At 41.0% G+C, this 18,452-nt stretch overlaps 1 protein-coding gene across 3 annotated transcripts in view; it reads right to left on the reverse strand.

Moving 5' to 3' along the window:
* The window catches only part of POPDC1 (popeye domain cAMP effector 1), a 40,336-nt gene that overhangs the window by 7,445 nt on the left and 14,439 nt on the right, over positions 1-18,452 (reverse strand). For all 3 annotated transcript variants that reach the window (NM_001199563.2, NM_007073.4, NM_147147.4), the window contains exons 6-7: positions 12,435-12,602; positions 11,420-11,561 (exon numbers count right to left, since the gene is read on the reverse strand). In NM_001199563.2, coding sequence (NP_001186492.1) covers positions 11,420-11,561; positions 12,435-12,602 — 310 coding nt within the window. The remainder of the gene's footprint in view (positions 1-11,419; positions 11,562-12,434; positions 12,603-18,452) is intronic.

The raw sequence follows: 18,452 nt of genomic DNA on the forward strand, positions 1-18,452 counted from the left end.
ATTCTACCCTCTTCATCTCAATAACTTCAGCCCTTCCACATTCTGTGTAACATTGTGGTTATAGCATTTGCATCTCTTCCTTATTAGAAAACAGGCATCTTGAGTGCTGTAACCAAGGCCTCTTTCCTCCTGCAGCCTCACAGAATTACTCCACACATAGTCAGGACCTTGATAATGTCCTTAAGTACACAGTGATGAAAAAATCCCTCCTCTGAAAGGCCACATAGGGAACCTCAGAAAGGATCCTGAGGATGAGGGAAAAAGACATGGACATCACCTTTAATTTCTGGCGGGTCTCCCAGTGGGGCACCACCAGCATTCCTCAAGCGCAGGCAGGCCTCAGGGTCCAGTAAACCTCATTAGGAAAAGGGACTGTCATCACTCTACTTTGTAGCATGTCCCCTGAAGGAAATCACTTTTGTAGAATTGATTCGACACTGCTTAGGGCATGGACAAGAACACCGTTCTCTCAAAGGAATATCAATAGGCTTAATAGCACCATCACCTGCTACAATGTTTTCATCCAATCAGTAAAAGGAATCAGGGAGTGACCACAAGGTGCTAGGACAATGGGTTAAATGTTGGGGAAATAAAAAGGAATCACACCCAGTCTTTCATGCTGTCTTATTTTATTTCTCAGAAACTCAAAGCACTTTTCAGAGCAATTCACCCTCACCACATCTGTACTATTATTTCTACTGTATATTCAGAAGCTAAAACAAAGACATCCGTGAAAGAAAACAGAGAGGGGTGGCTGCCATGAATGAGCTTATTTCTTACCAGGGTGTGAACCACTTAGAACACATCCTAGGAGGATAAACCAGGGAGTCCTAAGGGCCTGGAAAGATGGAATTTTTCTGCAAAAGTTCTTGATTCACTTTCATTTCAAGCTTTGTGGCTGAGAATCTGCAATCCCCCCCCAACTCCCTGTCCTTATAACAACATTGCCTTGTTGCTCTTTTTCCACCTTGGTAGACACACTGGCAGACAGGAGCACAGCCCAACCTGTCACTTCCAGGGACTACCTGGTGCCAGCTGGCTGCCAACCCCTCGCTTGGAATTAGAATCACGGAGAGTGTCCACTCTTTGTACCAGCCCCAGTTAGCCTGGCCTTCTGTACCATTGAGGGCCAAGTATAACATTCACATCCAGGAAGACAAAAGGATCACCTGCCCTGCCTCGGAATCTGCAACTGTCATGGCCACCAGAAAGCCCAGCTTTGAGGAGTGAGGGGCTCACCTGGCCCCTAGACATGGGGCTCTCTGGCCTCATCAGGAGACTTACTGGTTCAATGGAAAGATTCAGAGTCCATCCCTATATAGCTGGAAATTATTTCTTTGAACCCCTAATACATCCAAAACCAATTTGTAGTAAGAACAAGAAAAAGAGGGAATATTATATTTCAAGGGAATGCTCTTGCATTTCACAAGTTGAACATTAATAAATAACTTCTACAGGTTTGCCTGGTTTTTCATTAATTTTACGTACTGATAGATATCAGAAATTTGCCCAGAGGCCCAACTATCTTCCAGAGATGTGAGAACATGAGAGGAGAGAGGAAGAAATAGAGCTTATCTTTAGTTAAGTGATTTTTCAAATCACTTTTGTTCTTCAAGGAGGTTACTGTAAGGTTCATGATCTCTGTAGAATGCTTTACTTTTCATTTATTGCCAATTGTAGAGGGGCAAATAATTTCATATCCATAAATTTCCCAGAAAATTGATTCTTAGTTTTCTATTAAAACTATTTTTACAGTTGGGAGGCAGAGTGGTTAACTCCATCCTGTTGTATTTATTGTGATCAGGAAAAGACTTCTGTAGTAATTTTTTTTCTGTTAGCTATAATCACCTTCCACCTACCAGTTAATACATTTTATTATAAAAGTATATAAACAGTATCATACTGAACTGAAACCCAGACTTAACAGGTGTGAAACTGTTAAACAGTTACGTCAAGAGTTACTGTTGCTGGAGGGATGTTTCATATTACACCAAGTGGCAAAAAAGTCCTCTGCACAAAGGACTTCCATAAGGACCAAGGCATCGAGAAGGTGCAGCCAGTGGAGCACAATTGTGCTCTGGGGTGTCTGCCACACTCGCAGTATGTTCAGGTGGGAAAGAGAACTGTAGCACCAGGCTGCCGTGCTGAGGGTGAGAAAGAAAAACTCCAAGTCAAGGACCCTGAGCACATGCGGAAGACTGGGACAGCAGCGAGAGTCCTGAGCGAAACAGTGGACACCTTTGCTCCTGCCAGATGGCAGGGGGTGACCACACCGTGGGCTCCCACAAGGGGATTCAGATACGGCCAGCAGAGTCTCTCCTGGGCAGAACTGTTCAGATGGCAGCCAGGGCTGGGTGCTGGTTAGGGAGGAGGGGAGCCCATTGTTAAGACCCACTGCATGTCCCTGAGGGTCACTGGCTGCAAGGGCAAACAAAACATTGACCTCCATGGAGGGCGGGCTTGGGCTGCCCTGCAGATCCTTCTCTGTCTTCCAGAGTCTTGAGTTAAAGAACCACAGAAGGCCTTAAAAACCTTTTTTTTAGTATAAAATATTTGTGGGTACATAGTGGATGTATATATTTATGAGTTACATGAGATACTTTGATACAGGAATGCAACGTGAAATGATTATATCAGGGTAAATAGGCTATCCATCACCTCAAGCATTTATCCTTTGTGTTACAAACAATCCAACTTACTCTTTTAGTTATTTTAAAAATGTATATTATTTTTTACTATAGTCATCCTGTTGTGCTAGCAAATACTAGGTCTTATTCATTCTTTCTACCTATTTTTTGTATCCATTAACCATCTCCACTTCCCCTCTACCTCCCCCCACCCCCATTACCCTTTCCAGCCTCTGATAACCATCCTTCCACTCTCTCTGTCCTTGAGTTCAGTTCTTTTAGTTTTTAACTTCTACAAATATGTGAGAACATGTTAAGTTTGTCTTTCTGTGCCTGGTTTATTTCACTTAACATAATGAGAGGAGGCCTTTTCATACATGAACCAGGGAGCTCTTACATGACAATCAGTCAAATCTCTGGCATACAGGGTAAGAAAAAATGAGGTAAGATTCTGTCCCTATTAAGCTTATTTCTATTTCAGTGTGCTTCTAATTACAGGAGAGCCTGAAGGCCTCTCCTAGGAAGTAAAAGTAAACAGACATATTTGTTTTTCTTAAATCCAGAGTGAAGGTCATGCCTGTTCCAGAGGATGAACAAACTACCTCAAATCTGAGCTTCAAATAAGTGGAGTACCACGATGTGAAATCTGTCAGGTGACTTTTATCCTTGCTTAAGAAATACACTTTTTAAAAAGGAGCAACATTTCTGTAAGCTAATATAAGGTGCTAAGATTTTCTTTTCTCCCCTGTTAACTTTAATGACGTTTTCTCCATTTCTTTCAAAATGTTATTATTTTTATTATGTTTAACCATCTGGCCAACTGCTTTAGCAAGTAATTAAAAACCTACAGGAGTTTAAAATTTAATTAGATTGTACAATTTTTGAAGAATGGGAATGTGGAAGGATTTAATGGCTTTTTTTTTCCTGGAAAGAATTCTTTTCCTGTCTTTGCTTATTATATCCTAAGATTTTTTTTAATTGAGGAAACTGAGTTTGAATTGAAGCTTTCTGAACAATAATACTAAAGAGTAGCTTTGGCTTGTGCACCGAATGTTTCCTTTAATACACTCAGCACCAGCACTGAGGAACTCAGGCAAAGCGTACAAAATTAGGGCAAATGCGGAGGTTGAAGTAGCTTAGTGGTTCCTGTGATGAGGTCTACTCTGCCCCAAGAGCACGTTCTCAGAGCAGTCCCTAACTACTCGGATGGACCATCAGGGCCGTGAGCTGTACAGCGCGCAAGGTGTGGTGTGAGCAGCCAAGGAGGAGCAAAAGTCCCGCAGCCTCTTCCTGCTCACAAAGAAGAAGATACAGGGTAGAGGAGAAGGTGAATGAACCCAGGAGAAGAGTGAGGGCAGGATTCAGGCTGGCAGCCATGCAACAGCTCAGAGAATAATCCATCCAGGATGAGGCTGGAGGACGGCAGGCTCTGTAAGGAAAGTCTCTGGGAAAAATGGGACACAGAACTGGGAGAAAGGATATAAGGACAGAAAAGACAACGATAAGGAAAAAGGAAGGCAACTAGAAATGCCCGTAGAAACAATAAGCAGTATGAAAAGGCAGGGTTCAAATAGAGGACAACCACTCAGAGACTTGAAGAAAAAATGAAATGGGTTTCACCTAAAAGACAGAATGAGGAAGAAGCCTGAAGATCCCAGGGATATGGTGAATAAGATGTGTCCCACAACAGCAAGGCAATGAAACAACTTTAGGGGAAAAAAGAGAGTCAAGGCATAAAGTAAACCGTGGCATGATTTTCATGTTGTATATGAAAGAAGAATCCACTTGAACTTGATTTTTAGAACAGTCTCCTTTGAACAGAACAAGAGTCATGACATTGGAAACAGAAATAAATGTAAGCACTGCCCACTACTTGGTTCTACGTAAAGCACAATAATCTCAACATTGTTTATTTGTCTTAGACTTTGTGAAACAATTCATAGACAAAGGCTAATTGCAGTTATAAAAGAGAACATATAACTTGACCGTTTCAAAGTAAGAGACCCACAACAGTTTGAAGGTAGAAGGGGAAGAATAAGAAAGTAGGGATGCTAATGTCCTCACCTTTTAAAACATTTATTTTTTTTGAGCAGGGTCTCACTCTGTGCCCAGGCTGGAATGCAGTGTCGTGATCTTGACTCACTGCAACCTCAACCTCCTCGGGCTCAGGTGTCCTCAGCCTCTTGAGTAACTGGGATTACAGGCACAGGCAGGCCATCATGCCCTGCTATTTTTTGTATTTTTTGTAGAGACAGAGTTTTGTCATGCTGGCTGGGCTGGTCTTGAACTCTTGGGCTTAAGTGATTTGCCCGCCTTGGCCTCCCAAAGTGCGGGGACTATAGGAGTGAGCCACTGGGCCCAGCCCTTAATGTCCTCACCTTTAAAATTAGTGCAGCAAGAAAAAGAAATGGAGATTTAGGTGTATTGTTTAATGTTACAAAGTTAAACAATAAAAGAACAAAAACTAGTGACTTCATCATATTGAGCAGAAAGTGGAGGGGAAGTTAGAAGTGAGCTATCTACGTAGGTCAGTAGATAAAGGTTACTAAGTCCCCCTAGAGTTGGTGAGAAGGTAGTCACTTGCCTATAATCCCAGTACTTTGGGAGGCCAAGACGGACAGATCACTTGAGCCCAGGAATTTGAGACCAGCCTGGACAATATAGCAAGACGTGGTCTCTACAAAAAATACAAAAATTAGCCAGCCATGGTGGCACACACCTATAGTCCCAGCTACTCAGAAGGCTGAGGCGGGAGGACATCTTGAGCCTGGGAGGCGGGAGGACATCTTGAGCCTGGGAGGCGGAAGATGCGGCGAGCTGTGATCATGCCACTGCACTCTAGCCTGGATGACAGAGTGAGACCCTTTCTCAAAAAAAAAAAAAAAAAAAGATTAAGTGTATAAAGCAATAAATAACGGCACATCATTTGGCACTGTGGTTAACAACTGTTTCAAAGTGACTGTTCCTTGGGAGCAGGACTAAAATTAGCTTGGAGGGGGGTCAGTTCTTTTTTTTTCACTGTAAGGTTTTTTAACCATGTGATATCTATGTATATTAACTTGATAATTTAAACAATTTTGACTAACAGACTAAAAATGTACAACTGTATAAAATACCTTCAGGTAAGATTTTACAGGTAAGAAAATGCTGTGTGAGGACAGAGGCCCCCTCCTGGGGCGAGGAGCAGGGTACTGGCATGAGAGAGCACAGCCTCTACTGGCTGGGGGAGACATGGTCATATTCCTAAGCCTAAAAATGGAAAATGAAACACCCACCTCGTAGGGTGGTTGTGAGGATTAAATGAGAACCTGGCTGAAAGTGGTCAGGATGTGTCAGCTGCTACAGCAGTAGCTGAATATCCCAAACAAGTTTATGCTCACATTGATCTCCCTAAACTACACTTTACTCATCTATAAAATGAGGGTATTGCTTTCTCTAGCCATCTTGGTAGGTCTGAGAATTGTTCAGACTCATCTCCCAGAAACCTGCTGCCTAATCACACATCTTTCTACCTCTCTGTACAATTCATGTAAAGCTTATTGTTTGTAAGTCTATGGTTGCTCACAACGGGAATGAAACACAAATTGAGCTGAACAGATTATTTCATGAAACCAGCCTCGAAACTAAGAATGCTATAATGGCTTTTTGCGTCTTTCCAGGTAAATAAATATAGAAGAGAACCAAGAGAAACTCATTAGTTTCTCTCAGACATACTGGTAGTCTTTTCAGACTGCAAGCTAACTAAATATTTGTAAAACTAGGTCATATGACATTAGTAGGCTGTCCACAACAGCATTTTTTTTTCTTTTAGACAGGGTCTCACGCTTTCACCCAGGCTGGAGTGCAGTGGCAAGACCATGGCTCACTGCAGCCTAGATCTCCCAGGCTAAAGTGGTCCTCTTAGCTCAGCCTCCCAAGTAGCTGGGACCACAGGCGCATGCCATCACCTCCAGATAATTAAAACAAATTTTTTGTAGAGAGGGGGTCTCGCTATGTTGCCCAGGCTCGTCTTGAACTCCTGGGGTCAAGAGATCCTCCTGCCTTGGCCTCCCAAAGTGCTGGGATTATAGGTGTAAGCCAGTGTACCTGGCCAGTGTAGTACTGTCTTGACACTAATAACAAACAAAATACTTACAAAGATCTTAATAAGAAACATCTCTCTAAAGATCTCACAGCATTTTTAAAAACAACATAATTATTATTTCATGAAAAAAGACACGGTTTAAACTAACAAGCTTTTTCAAAGATGAGTTCCAACTGATTGCATTGCCTACATTGTCTTGTGATTTTAAAAAAAAATCCAAATGATAGGTTATTTAACCCCAATTAACTAAAATACAGTTCTGTAACATTCAAGGAAACATATGTCTTCCTGTTACCATAGCAATGCCTGAGCTGGGCAGCACTTACTAGTGATGGAATTGCCAATACAATCCATCTGTGTGAATGCATATGTTTTATACATGAAGGGAGCTAAGAAGGAGAGAAGATGCACAAAGATGACAACAAGGTGCCCTGACGAGCAACACCTTGGTCCAGGAGCCAAGAGAAGAAAGCTTTCCTACATACACTGGCACTAAAGCGTTCTCACACCTCTCACACATCTTGTCCCTTCTTCTCTTCCTATCTCGCTATATTCCATGTTTGCAAACATGAAACCCAGTAAATGAAGCAATGGGAAAGTGAAAGAGTTAAATGAACTGAATTATGAACTACTGAATAAACAGAGAGAATGACTTTTTCTCAGGCTGTCTCATGACTTCACTTTCTTCCCACAATTTGGAGTGGGAATACAGAATCTATGTGGAAAGGAGTAGAGACCTTGCTGTGGATTTAGCATTGTGTGGCATGTATAAAAGCAGAGTACAACATGAGAAATGGGAGCAGCAGCAATTCCATTAAAACAGGTCACTTAGTTTCCCTCCACCTTTTTCTGTCCGTATTTCTGTTTCACTGAACATTTGCTGTGTAAAGTTATGAAGTATATTTGTCGCATTACTGATTGAGATCTTTAAAGTAGTGCCTTTACCAGAATTTATGCAAACTTCTACACCCAACTACCGGCAGATGAGAAAGACAAGAACACCATAATCACCACCATGGGGATGAACTCAGCAAAATTCCAGAAGGTGGGAAATTCTACAGCTTTCCTACTCAAAGTGTAGTTCACAGACCAGCCACACTGGTATCACCTGGGCACTGGTTAGACCTGTGGACTCCCAGACCCCCACCCCAGCCTGCTACATCAGGATCTTTAATAAGATCTCCAGGTGATTCATATGCACATTTAAGAATCTGTTGTTCTACAGGACAAACCAAAAAACCAAAACAAAAACATATGCAGAAACACACACACAGAGACAGAGAGACAGAGAGAGATGGAAAGGGAGCCCTGAGGTGTAGTGGCTGAATGCGATGTGCACATGCTGTTCAGATCGTGATTCGAAAAATAATTATAAATATTCGTATGCATGTTAATGTTTAAATCGACCTAGATTTGGGTTAATGAATAGGTGGAACAATGTAAAAAGGTTTAAGGAAATACATAAGGTATATTTAATTTGGTATGGAGTGACACTGCTTGTAATTCTGAAGTAATCTAACTAAAAGCTAAATGACACTGGAGATTATCATTGGATAATTTCACACATTCCTAAGTAGAACCCTAGTAATCCAGTGATAAGAATAAGGCAAAAATTTTAATTGAAATGGATTACATTAACCAATCTATGAAAACCTATCTGCAGCACTACTTGATCACAAGGAAGGAATCAGGAGATGACAGGTTTCCCCAGAAAAGTAGGTGGGAGTTGAGAAAAAGTGGCTTGGGGCAAGTCACTACCTTCTCACCAACTCTAGGTGGACTCATCTGCAAAGAGGCAAATAATAACAGCTCCTGTGCCTAGCTCACATAGCTGTCGGTTCAAATGCAAGAACAGATGTGAAGGTGACCTGTATATGGAAAAACACTAGTCAACTGTTACTTGCATTTAAAAAAACACAGAGGTAATCTGGTCTACAAGCATGAGCTTTTGTTTTTCTTTTCTTTTTTTTTTGATACAGGTCTCACTCTATCACCCAGGCTTCCGTGCAGTGGCTCTATCATGGCTCACTGCAACCTTGACTTCCCCGGCTCAAGCAATCCTCTCACCTCAGCCTCCCAAGTAGATGGGACCACAGGCATGTATCACCATGCCTGGATAATTTTTTTAATTTTTTGTAGAGATGGGGTCTCATTATGTTGCCCAGGCTGGTCTTGAACTCCTGGGCTCAAGCGATCCTCCAGCTTCAACCTCCCAAAGTGCTGAGATTACAGGTGTGAGGCACTGTGCCTGGCCAAGCATGAGCTCTGGAATCAGATAGGATCCCTAGGTTTGTATCACAGAACCAGCCCCCATGGAAGAGGGGCAAGTGAATAAGCATCTCATATTCCCAATTTCCTCATCTATAAAATGACCTAACACCCGCTGTAGTAGACTGTGTTACAGTCCAGCTTTCCACCTGCTGTTTCTCACTAGGCCCTTCCTGAGCAGTCCCTGCAGAAGGGTTAAATGATCTATCCATTGATGTTGGTTCTGGCAAGTGACTTCTGTGGCCCAGGGAACATGCATGGAAGTGGTACTTGCTCCTTTAGAGCAGGAGCTTTAACAGCCAGCCATCTTGTGAATCTGCCACGACTGTCTTCCTTCTGCAGTTACAATGGCAGTGACCCAGATGGCAGCTAGTCCTTTGGCTGAGCCCCAAGAGTAGGGAAGTGCAGCACCCGACCTTCATGTGAGCTTTAGTTAATACCTTCAAAAAGTTACTATGCAGGCCAGGTGCAGTGGCTCACGCCTGAAATCCCAGCACCCGAGGCGGGTGGGATCCTCCTGCCTCAGCCTATTGAGTAGCTAGAACTACAGGCCTGCACCACGATGCCTGGCATTTTTTTTTTTTTTATAGAGACAAGGTTCTCTTGAGCCCAGGAGTTTAAGGCTGCAGTGATCTGTAATTGTACCAATGTACTCCAGTCTGGGTGACAAAGTGAGACCAACTCCCATCCCCCCCGCCACACACACACACAAAAAAAACAAAAACAAAACAAAAACAAACAAAAAAAAACAGGAGATTAAATTCTTGTATGAAAGGTGATCTCCCAAAATATTAAAAGGAAAACAACATGCTTATCATCAAGGACAAGATGTCGAGGCAGAGAGAATTCTGTACAAGCCTTTATTAAAATAACTCGTCTTTAAGTCTTCCAACACAATTTAGTTGCCTTTTCATAACTTACTATTCTTTGTCCAATTCACTATAAACTGTTTAATTGCTTCTTTAGGTCTTCATTTCCTTACAAAAGCTTCTGTGCCATGTAAAACCTGTATGAGCTTTTAACACAAACTCATACAACTTGTATTAAATTTGTATCCTTTTCTCTTGTTAATCTATCTTATGTCAATTTAATTCTCAGGTCCAGCCAAAAAACAACCCTAAAAAGGAAGAAGTAAAGTTTTTTCTTTCCTACACACCAATTATATGGCCTTGTAAATTCCAGCCTCTCCTGACTATGCAATACTTAAAATCCCTAATATAATTTATCTAAAGGCATACAAAGTTACAAATCATTTACATAAAGAATTGTTGAATGTGTTTGCATTTTTTAAAAGTTAATTTGGTTTAAAATACAATTGGAAATATGAATAGTTTTTAATTCATGCAATGGAAGAATGTCTGCCTTTTTGCTATTTCATATGAATTTGTTCAAAGTTTTTATACCATCATTCTTAGAATAATTCTTAAAGTATTTAATTCTTAATTTAGTTTTTCTCATTTTACTTACTAATTTTCAACATCTGGGTTATTTGTGTTACTTAAAATGTTTTGAAACAATCTAAACTATGGAAGAATACCGGAAAATGTGCCTCTTGGCAGGCGTGTGAATGAGGTAGCTCACAAGGGTGTTGAGTGATCTCCTTCATCTTTGGGAATAATCCATTTCTCAGTCACTTTTTAACTCACGGCACTCATACTGAGATAACCAGCCAGCAGCAGAACACCCAGCATTTATTTGTCTACCATTTAGTAAAACATTTCTGGGTCTAGGCTTTCACTCTAACTAAAGTCATGAAAGTAACAAAGCCAAATGGCAACAAAAACAAACAAAACCAAAGCAAAAAAATCAAACCATGTGGACTCTTAGAGTATTCTGGTGAGCCACTATTTTTTATTTTTGAGACGGAGTCTCGCTCTGTCGCCCAGGCTGGAGTGCAGTGGCGTGATCTCAACTCACTGCAAGCTCCGCCTCCCAGGTTCACGCCATTCTCCTGCCTCAGCCTCCCGAGTAGCCAGGACTACAGGCGCCTGCCACCAAGCCCGGCTAATTTTTTTTGTATTTTTAGTAGAGACGGGGTTTCACCGTATTAGTCAGGATGGTCTTGATCTCCTGACCTCGTGATCCGCCCGCCTCAGCCTCCCAAAGTGCTGATCTGCCCGCCTCAGCCTCCCAAAGTGCTGGGATTACAGGCGTAAGCCACCATGCCCAGCCAGTGAGCCACTATTTAAGCAAAGTATATGGCAAAACCAGTGAACAATTTCAATTTCTGAAACAGAAATAATAGTTCTAAAGTTGGCTTTTAGCTCATATGCAATATGGGGGAAATGCTAAACAAAATTTGATTGTTTTTATTGTTACCTTTAGGTTGCCTTTCAAATAGTTACCTGCAAAGTTATTTTTCTAATCAAAGTTGTCATTTGTCTATGTCCAGAGATACCCATCAGAACTCTGGAGTAGTATCAGTTTTGGGATAACTTACGAAGAGAGGACATGCTGGAGGTACCCCGAAGAAACTGGTGCAAGCCGTCGTCACTGTCACTGGAGCTGGCTATACTGTTCCTCATTTCCAACATGGAGATCTGTGTGCAGAGGCTGAGCTGATGTTCCAGCTTTTTGGCTTTCTACAAAGCAAAGTTTTAAGCTTTCTGAGAATTATGGGAGTTGAATCATACATTCCATTTAAGCAGCATGTACTTTTCCTAGAAATACGTTAGTGCATTTAAAAAAAAGAATACCTGATACATATTAGGTGGCCAATAAACATAAGCTATGATTTTTATTATTAGCTATTACTATAAATATATTATACAAAATCAAATATACTTAGTAGCCTATTTATAATAAGCTAAATAATTAACTGAAATAAGCACCAGCTTAATTTGATAAACAGTCCAGATAAGATGATTTTGAAAGGGCACATATACTCAATTGTCACTGGGTAACAGTACTTATCACAGAAACGACGTTTTTAAAAATTCTCTCTTGTAATCATTTTAATTTCTTTCTAAAAAGATACGGGAAAATTAAGATCAAATTGCAAATTGCTGAAGATCTATGCAGCTCTACACCTCTCCTTTCACTTTCTCGCCTGACCTGAAGATATGCAAGACTGGAAGACAGCAGGGTTCAAAGGCCAACTTCCTGATCGCTGGGGTCTGTCAGCCTTTCTCTGTCTGCAAACCTCCAGCTGCCCTGTCCTCCCTAACTTACTCCATCCTCCACCCCCTCTTACTCCTTTACCATCTTCCTTAAAATGCTCTTGATGAAGAGGGTGCCTTATCACCATAAATGCTAGTCCCTGACAATTGTAGACTCCTTACTAAGTAACAGCAAATCTAATCATTACAAAATACTTTCTCCTCTCAAGATTACAAGTATCCCCAGTACATTTAACATATGGCTAGTTACTAAAAATTCAGGAAAACATATTTCATAAAGTGAAATATACCTCATATACATATTTATTTAACAAAATAAACTCAGAGAACACTTACTTTATCATTTAAGGTGGGATCATTCAATGAGTAGAGCTTATTTGTGATGTCTTTTCCAATAAGATACCTAAAGATTTCATACAAGAAAGGTTCTGATTCCAGAAAGTATGTTAATCTTTCTCTTGACCAGCATAAAAATCTGCAGTTATCATCTGCAATAATGGTGACCTGCCAAAGAAACAAGCATGCAAAGAATAAAGTACATCTATGTATATGAATTATGACTATAGTGATTTAGAAAACTAGGAATGATTTAGTGGACATTATCATAGCAATGATTTGTCAAATTATAAAAAAAAGGAGACTCAATGCACACAAGCTTCTACACGTATAAAATTATGTTTTTTAAAAAAGCAATCTGCAGACTAAATAAAAGCAAATTCTCTGTGTTTCCTTGTTGTTTTGTTTTGTGAGGTCTGGTGACAGAAGAATGGCCACTGTATTGATACCGCTGCTGGAGCATGTATTCAACTGAGGATGCCACTGGACATATGACTTACATGAAATATTTCTTTACACCCTGTACATTACAATGAAGTTCAAAAATACAGCTTCAAGCAGATGAACTAAGATTCATGAGGCAAGTTGTGAAAGACCTTCTGCCCATCCATCTCTGCAAATATACACTAAAGACTGAGAAAACTTCAAGGGCCCTCGGCTGTTGCTGATGAATACGGCTGGTGAGGGTCCTTCTGTCATAGGTGTTTCTCGAGTGTCACATTTCAAGGTTAGATCCAGGGTAGCCCATTAGAGATATTCACAGACATCCCCAAATTAGCTCAGAGCTGGAAATCATACCCCCTTTCCTTCAGTATTGTATGTAGGAAAGCAGAAAGGTACTATAACTGCACGAAACAGAGCTCAAGTATCCCTCAAATAAATCCCTTTGCCAGAGTGAGGGGCCATGCCCTCACCATTCAGTGCCAGGAAGCCCTTCTTCCCATGTTAACACTTCCATCAGTTAACACAACTGCAAGCTTCATTATGGCTTAAATCCTATCATTAAATCCAAGCTCATCAGCTGACACATCTGCCTGTTCCAAGCACTGTGAAGGCAGGGATTGTGTATCTTCACGTCTGTCTGAATGCCTGACTTCCAACATGGAGTGGTGCTTAATGCATGACTGTTGTATGAAGGACTTAAGCAAATGAACACACAACATGGCAAAACCCTGGCTCTATAAAACATACACAAATTAGATGGACATGGTGGCATGTGCCTGTAGTCCCAGCTACTTGGGAGGCTGAGGTGGGAGGATCACCTGAGCCCAGGAAGGTCGAGGTTGCAGCGAGCCATGATCACACCACTACACTCGATCATACAGTGGCAGCAGGAGACCCCTGGGTGACAAGCGCGAGACCTCATCTCAAAAACAAAAACAAAACAAATGAACACAAATACCGCAGTAGGCAAAAACCAATGTCCATTAAACTGACATCCAGTCCTATCTGAGCCTCAGAGCAAATGTTTCTAAAGAAGCTCTGTCCCCTTTGTCACAAAAGTAAACACATTTCAGAGGACAAGGGGATATGTACATCTACCAAGACAGAAAATGAAAAACCCAGCTTGTCTCCTTACTTCAACAAGCTGAAATCTGATTGCTGGCAAATTAAGAATGTCTGGCTACTTTAAAAAGTGGTGTCAACATTCCTAGGAAAAAAAGCTTGTGTTTATTTATTATATCAAAAGTAGGAATTTCCAAAACCAAACGTATTTGTTTTTAAGAAATGCATCAGCATCTAAGACTTGATGAAACACTAAATTTCATTCATTCTTTCGATACATTACTATGCATGTACTTTATGCTAGATACTCTTCAAGGTATGAAGTTACAATGGTAAATAAGAAAGACAAGATGCTTGCCCCATGAAGCTTACATTCTAGTGGAGAAGGATGATAATTAATAAAGAAATATGACAATTTCAGGTGGCAGTAAGTGTTTTGACAACTATAGAACAGGGGAAAGTGGTCGAGAATGACTGGGGGTGACAATAGCACATAATGCCACTCACTTTGTATATGTACTTTTAAACTTTAAGGTGCTTTCATATCTATCATGTAAGTGGATCCTCAAAAATCCGTTTAAAATAAGACAAGTAATATTCTTCCCCATTTTTCAGATGCCAAATGAGAAGGACCAAAAAACTCACAAACACATATTAATTAGTGGTAGAGTGGCTCTACAAAACACACAAAAATTAGCCGGGCATACTGGCATGTGCCTACAGTCCCAGCTACTTGGGAGGCTAAGATGGGCCGATCACTTCAGGCCAGGAGCTCGAGACCAGCCTGGGCCAACATGGTGAAACCCTGTCTCTACTAAAAGAAAAAAAATTAGCTGGGTATGGTGGCAGGCGCCTGTAATCCCAGCTATTCAGGAGGCTGAGGCACAAGAATCCCTTGAACCTGGGAGGCAGAGGTTGCAGTGAGCCGAGATCGTGCCGCTGCACTCTAGCCTGGGTAACAGAGTGAGACTCCCTCTCAAAAAAAAAAAAAAAAAAAAGTAGTGGTAAAGTGAGCACTTTTGACTTTCAGCCCAAATCTATTTTCCCACCAGGTCAAAATCTACCCAATACACCCAATACTCATCAATACCATTTCATAGAAAGTATTTCTGCCTAGTGACTACAAGGTTGGCTGTGCAGTCCATCAAGAGCCCCTCATACAGAGAAAGGCTGAACACATGCCATGAAGCCTACATTCTAGTGGAGGAGGCTGCTAATAAAGAAGTAGGATCAAAAACATGGCAAGATTTACAGGAAGAGGAGTATAAGCAAACTGACCCTGGGGAATTCCCACAGACGGTATGAGGTGGGTGCATAAATGGAAGGCAACTGAAAAATATTCCTGGAGTAATAACAGAAAAGTGAGCATGGTGTCCTCATGAGGGCCCAGCCATGCACCTAAGTGCTAAAGACAGTTAGGACTGATGTTCCTTCGTTGTGCAAAGATGTCACCCAGGACTCTGGAAAAGAGTGGGTGAAGGAGTTAAAAGAGGAGATGGAAATCATCTATGAGATGAAGAAATTATATTTAGATGATACATAAGGCTGTTAACTTTTCTTCAGCCATCTGAATTACCTCAAGTTTCCACTGAGGCAATGAAACTTTTACAATGACACTGTAATTTCCTTAGCAAATTCACTTTTTATTGATGGTTAAAAAATTACTTTCGACCTGTTTAAGTTATTATTGAATATAAAATAATAGTATTCAAATAATAAGCCGTACTTAGTTCATATGAGTAACTTACAGGCCCATAAAAACATGGATTTGGGCCGGGCGCGGTGGCTCACGCCTGTAATCCCAGCACTTTGGGAGGCCGAGGCGGGCGGATCACGAGGTCAGGAGATCGAGACCATCCCGGCTAAAACGGTGAAACCCCGTCTCTACTAAAAATACAAAAAATTAGCCGGGCGTAGTGGCGGGCGCCTGTAGTCCCAGCTACTTGGGAGGCTGAGGCGGAAGAATGGCGTGAACCCGGGAGGCGGAGCTTGCAGTGAGCCGAGATCCCGCCACTGCACTCCAGCCTGGCGACAGAGCGAGACTCCGTCTCAAAAAAAAAAAAAAAAAAAAAAAAAAAAAAAAAAAAAAAAAAAAACATGGATTTGGTTGGAAGCCAGTAGTTAGAGTGCTGACTGAGGTCATTTTACTTGATTCCTAATGTTTCATTTCTACCAAATAGACAGTTTATTTAATGATTTCCTGTCACAACAGTCAAGCAAAGTGTATTTTTTATGAGAATATCTTATAAAGCAATATAAGAATTTTAAAAGTTTCCATAAAATAAATTTACTTCTTATTAGGCATTTCAGTAGTGCTATGCTTGAGTCCTTGTGAAGAATTTTACTGAAGAAATAAAAGCAAATACGGCAACAGAATACATAAAAGGACATCTTTCAGGTCGAGAATTAGACTAAGCATTTGCAAACAGGTTTGCCGTGATTACCACAAGGTACTGGATCAGTTCCTCCCTTTAGATTCCAAACCAATTCTACAGCCTGTCATAAAGAGAAGACACTGGGCTCCACCGTAGGAAACAAAGGTCTCTGAGGGATCTGCCACATGTGCTAGAATCAGAAACCGCAGTGTGGCAATAGGACTGGCTGACTGTCCTAAGGAAATAATTTAATACTTTTTGCATGCATCATACTGCATTTCATATACCAAACACTAAAATATCCTAGAAGTGGTCTATTCCACTGATGCTTATTGAGTTCTCCTAAGCACTAAAATAACACAGATTCAAAAGTGGCAGAGGAAATTGTTTCACAGCTCCACCAAAATATTTACTTAATATTAAGATAATGTTTTCTTTCAATACCATTAAAACTTAGTGTTCATTTCTTTTACAAGAGCATGGACATATGCCTGCAAGACATCCCTCTCCCCTTGAAGTCAATAAAACTTTGATTTTTGGGCTTTGCAACACCAGGACATGCTATTGGCTATGGGAAGGCAGCAGCATGAGATAGAATACAAAAGAAAAGCTTGCAAACAGTAAAGCTCACTTAATATAAAACATCTACATAAAGAACAAGAAACCAAACAAAACACTACTTTTATCTTTTTTTTTTTTTTTGAGATGGAGTCTCATTCTGTTGCCCAGGCTGGAGTGCAGGGGTGTGATCTCGGCTCACTGCAACCTCCGCCTCCCGAGTTCAAGTGATTCTCTCCAGCCTCAGCCTCCTGAGTAGCTGGGATTATAGGCACCTGCCACCATGCTCAGCTAATTTTTGTATTTTTAGTGGACACCAGGTTTCACCATGTTGGCCAGGCTGGTTTCAAACTCCTGACCTCAGGTGATCCACCCGCCTCAGCCTCCCAAAGTGCCGGGATTACAGGTGTGGGCGGCCGCGCCTGGCCTACTTTCATCTTTTGTAATAATACTACTCAAGATTCTATCAATAGTTATAAACAGCAACTCTGGGCTATAAGTACCAAAATCACTATAAGTACCTAGGGATAACAAACTGTAAGTTCAGAATCTGTTTTCTCAGCTCTATCACTATGCTTATTATCATGATAATTACTACATATTTACCTGAGCAACACCTGCTATGCAATCTCAAGGGACAGTCATTGAGTCCACTTGCCTTCTCTTTCCTCCTTTTCATCGTACTGTACAATTCATGAGCACCCTGACCACAGAACGAATTTAAAGAAAGAGAAACTCAAAGGAAGTAGATCCTCATCGAACATGTTTAACTGGTCAGAGTTAGGGAAAGATGAGCTTAGCAGGTAAAAAGTGTGAGGGTGGAGAAGCCTGATGGCTGATGATCAAGCGTCCTCTGCCACTGACACAGGTAGTGAGAAGTTGGCTCTGGGAGAATGTGACATTTTTCATTTGGGAACTTGCATAGGTAAGTGGCAATATACATACTCCTACACAGATGTGTAACAGCTATTTATTACTCTTGAGGATCTGCCAACAGGAACATTTTGTAAACAATCAAAGTACAGTCTCTCCCAAGGGCTTACTCTGATGGCTCCAGCTATACAGGACACAGGCTTCATGATGCTAGTTTTAATCTACTGGCCAATCAGGAAATGCCACACGAGACTCTATGCAGAGAAAAGCTGACTGGCATTAGGAAAAGCTGAACACATTTTCTTCATCCAGCTATGGCACTATAAAATTTTGGTCATGTTTTTGGAATCTTTCTAATTACCGGGAATAATTCTCAACTACCAAAATCCAATCCCTAGTCCCCAAGAAGAAAGAGAACTGTAGCTAGTGGTAGGAATTCCTTTTTTGTTGACTTAATTATAAATACAATCTGAAGTCCAGAAAAGATAGTATATTAGTATTTCTGGCCTCTTGGGAACCACTTGATTCTGGAAACAAAGCAGGTTCAATTCCCACCCCATCCTCAAATCCCAGTCTCTTCAGGATTATATGAGATAGTTATCACACAAAACCACCTGCTACTATACACAGAGAAATACAGGCAAAAGATAAATGTTGGGCTTTGGAAGAAGAAACTGTAAAAAGGTCACAGCAAAGAAGGAGAGAA

The sequence above is a fragment of the Homo sapiens genome, chromosome 6 (assembly GCF_000001405.40).
Source record: "Homo sapiens chromosome 6, GRCh38.p14 Primary Assembly".
In the NCBI taxonomy this organism is placed as follows: Eukaryota; Metazoa; Chordata; class Mammalia; order Primates; family Hominidae; genus Homo; species Homo sapiens.